The 2,032-nt window shown below is 45.7% G+C and overlaps 1 annotated feature.

The window, feature by feature from the left end:
* Positions 451 to 1,650: an enhancer, noted in NCBI's record as "CDK7 strongly-dependent group 2 enhancer chr8:135976682-135977881 (GRCh37/hg19 assembly coordinates)". NCBI's record gives its function as "activates an origin of replication core promoter dependent on BRD2, BRD4, P300/CBP, MED14 and CDK7 cofactors, with strong dependence on CDK7, by STARR-seq in HCT116 cells {active_cell/tissue: HCT116}" and the evidence as "EXISTENCE:reporter gene assay evidence [ECO:0000049][PMID:35650434]".

Raw genomic sequence — 2,032 nt, 5'->3', positions numbered from 1 at the left:
AGACTTGTTCTTCCTCCTAATACCCTATCTCAACTGGTGACACCACAGGCACCGTAATCACCAGGCAAGAAGGTGAGGAGTGACCCATGACCCATCTCACCCCTTCATGTCCTACATCTATCAACCCTAAATCTTAGTTTTCTCTTAGTCTTCACTTAACTCCTTGATATGTGTTGAGTTTCTTGTATGTGCCTGCCATGCATTCTGCAAGCTCTAGGAAAATCATGGTGGCCAAAATGGACATAATGCCCTCCCTCATGGTTCAAATTCAGCTCCACCCCTTACTAGCTTGGGCAGATTATGTATTATCTGTGCAACTCAGGGTTCTCATCTGAAAAATGGAGATAAAAATAGCACCTACCTCAGAGGATTGCTATGAAGATTCAATAGATGGTGTATCAGTCTGTTCTCATGCTGCTATAAAGATCTATCTGAGACTGAGTAATTTATAAATGAAAGAGGTTTAATTGACTCACAGTTCAGCATGGCTGGGGAGGCCTCAGGAAACTTACAATCATGGTGGAAGGGGAAGCAAACATGTCCTTCCTCACATGGCAGCAGCAAGGAGAAGTGCTGAGCAAAAGGGGCAAAAGCCCCATATAAAACCATCAGTTCTCATGAGAACTCACTCACTATCACGAGAACAGCATGAGGGTGACTGCCCCCATGATTCAATTACCTCCCACCAGGTCCCTCCCATGACAGATGGGGATTATGGGAACTACAATTCAAGATGAGATTTGGGTGGGAACACAGCCAAACCATATTAAATGGGTTAGTATGTGTAAAGCACATGGAACATAGTTAAGTGCTGTGTGTTTCCTATCATATTAATTCCAATTGCAGTAAGTGATACTAAAGAATTTAGGTTCCTCCAGGGTGTCCTGTTGACCTCACATGTATCTACTTAAAGCAGGTAGACAAAGCCCCAACTTAGTCTGAGTCTTGGCGGAACATTTATGGATCCTTCCAGAACAGGGGAGGATGGATAGCTTATAAGGGGCTACTCAAGTTCCTGTGACTCACCTCCCCATCTGCCCGAGAGGCTGTCTGGAGGCACTTTCTCATGACCTCTCGAGTTCTGATGAGTTATAAGGCCTCTTACCCCACCCCTCTAGGGTATGGCTGAGAATAGATAGAACCACGTTGCTGCACTCAGCCATGGGTATCCCACCACTTGTGTTGCATTGTCCTCTGGCCCCTATGGCTTAGGACTTCTTGGTATGTGGAACAAAGACCACAGGGAGAGGCATCTTTGGCTGCTTTTCCTTTCACTATATAAGTAATTAACTGCTCAAACCTAAGCATGGCCTGTTTTTCCTTTACTGGACAAATCCATCGGGACTTTGGCCTCATATTGGCCTTGTCCTTAAAAAAGAGAAGGAAATTGTTTTGTGCTATTAGAAGAACAACAGAGAAACCAGGGCGGCTCTTCACTGACCGGCCCCCACCTTTAGCCCATCAGTGAACACTGTCATTTCTGTATTTAATGTACCTCATCTGATCTCTCTGCCTCCACTCTTGCTCCTTCCTGCCAAGTTTCCTCAGAGGAATCAGAGCAACACAGAGAATAATATTTGTCCCCTGCTTCTTCAAGTATCTTTAAAGACTTCTGATTTTATCAAATAAATGCAATTTTTAATCAATGGCCTACAAGAGCCAACATGACCTCGTTCTGCCAATGTCTCCAGCATCAGCTGAGACTCAACTCACCCTGTCACCAACTGAGCTCTCGTCATGCAGGCCTTCTCCTGCCCGGTCATCAAACATGAGGAGATCTGCACCTCAGAGCCTCTGCATAGGCTGCCCTTCCCTACTTCTGAGATAAGGGGAAGAGAAGATGGCAGAGGACTGCAAAGAGTAGGGGAGGAAACACAACAAAAGAGCAATGACAGACAGTGAGCAACTGGAAATGTTGAACAGTAACCCAGAGAGAGTGGTACCAGGAACTCGGTGAGGGGAATGTGCTGGAAGGAAAGATTGCTGTACTCAACAGCACGAGAGCTCCTGTAAGGAGAGGGCTCCCAAGTAT

The sequence above is a fragment of the Homo sapiens genome, chromosome 8 (assembly GCF_000001405.40).
Source record: "Homo sapiens chromosome 8, GRCh38.p14 Primary Assembly".
Taxonomy (NCBI): domain Eukaryota; kingdom Metazoa; phylum Chordata; class Mammalia; order Primates; family Hominidae; genus Homo; species Homo sapiens.
Note: the sequence above shows the minus strand (reverse complement) of the source record. Positions and strands in the feature narration are given on the sequence as shown.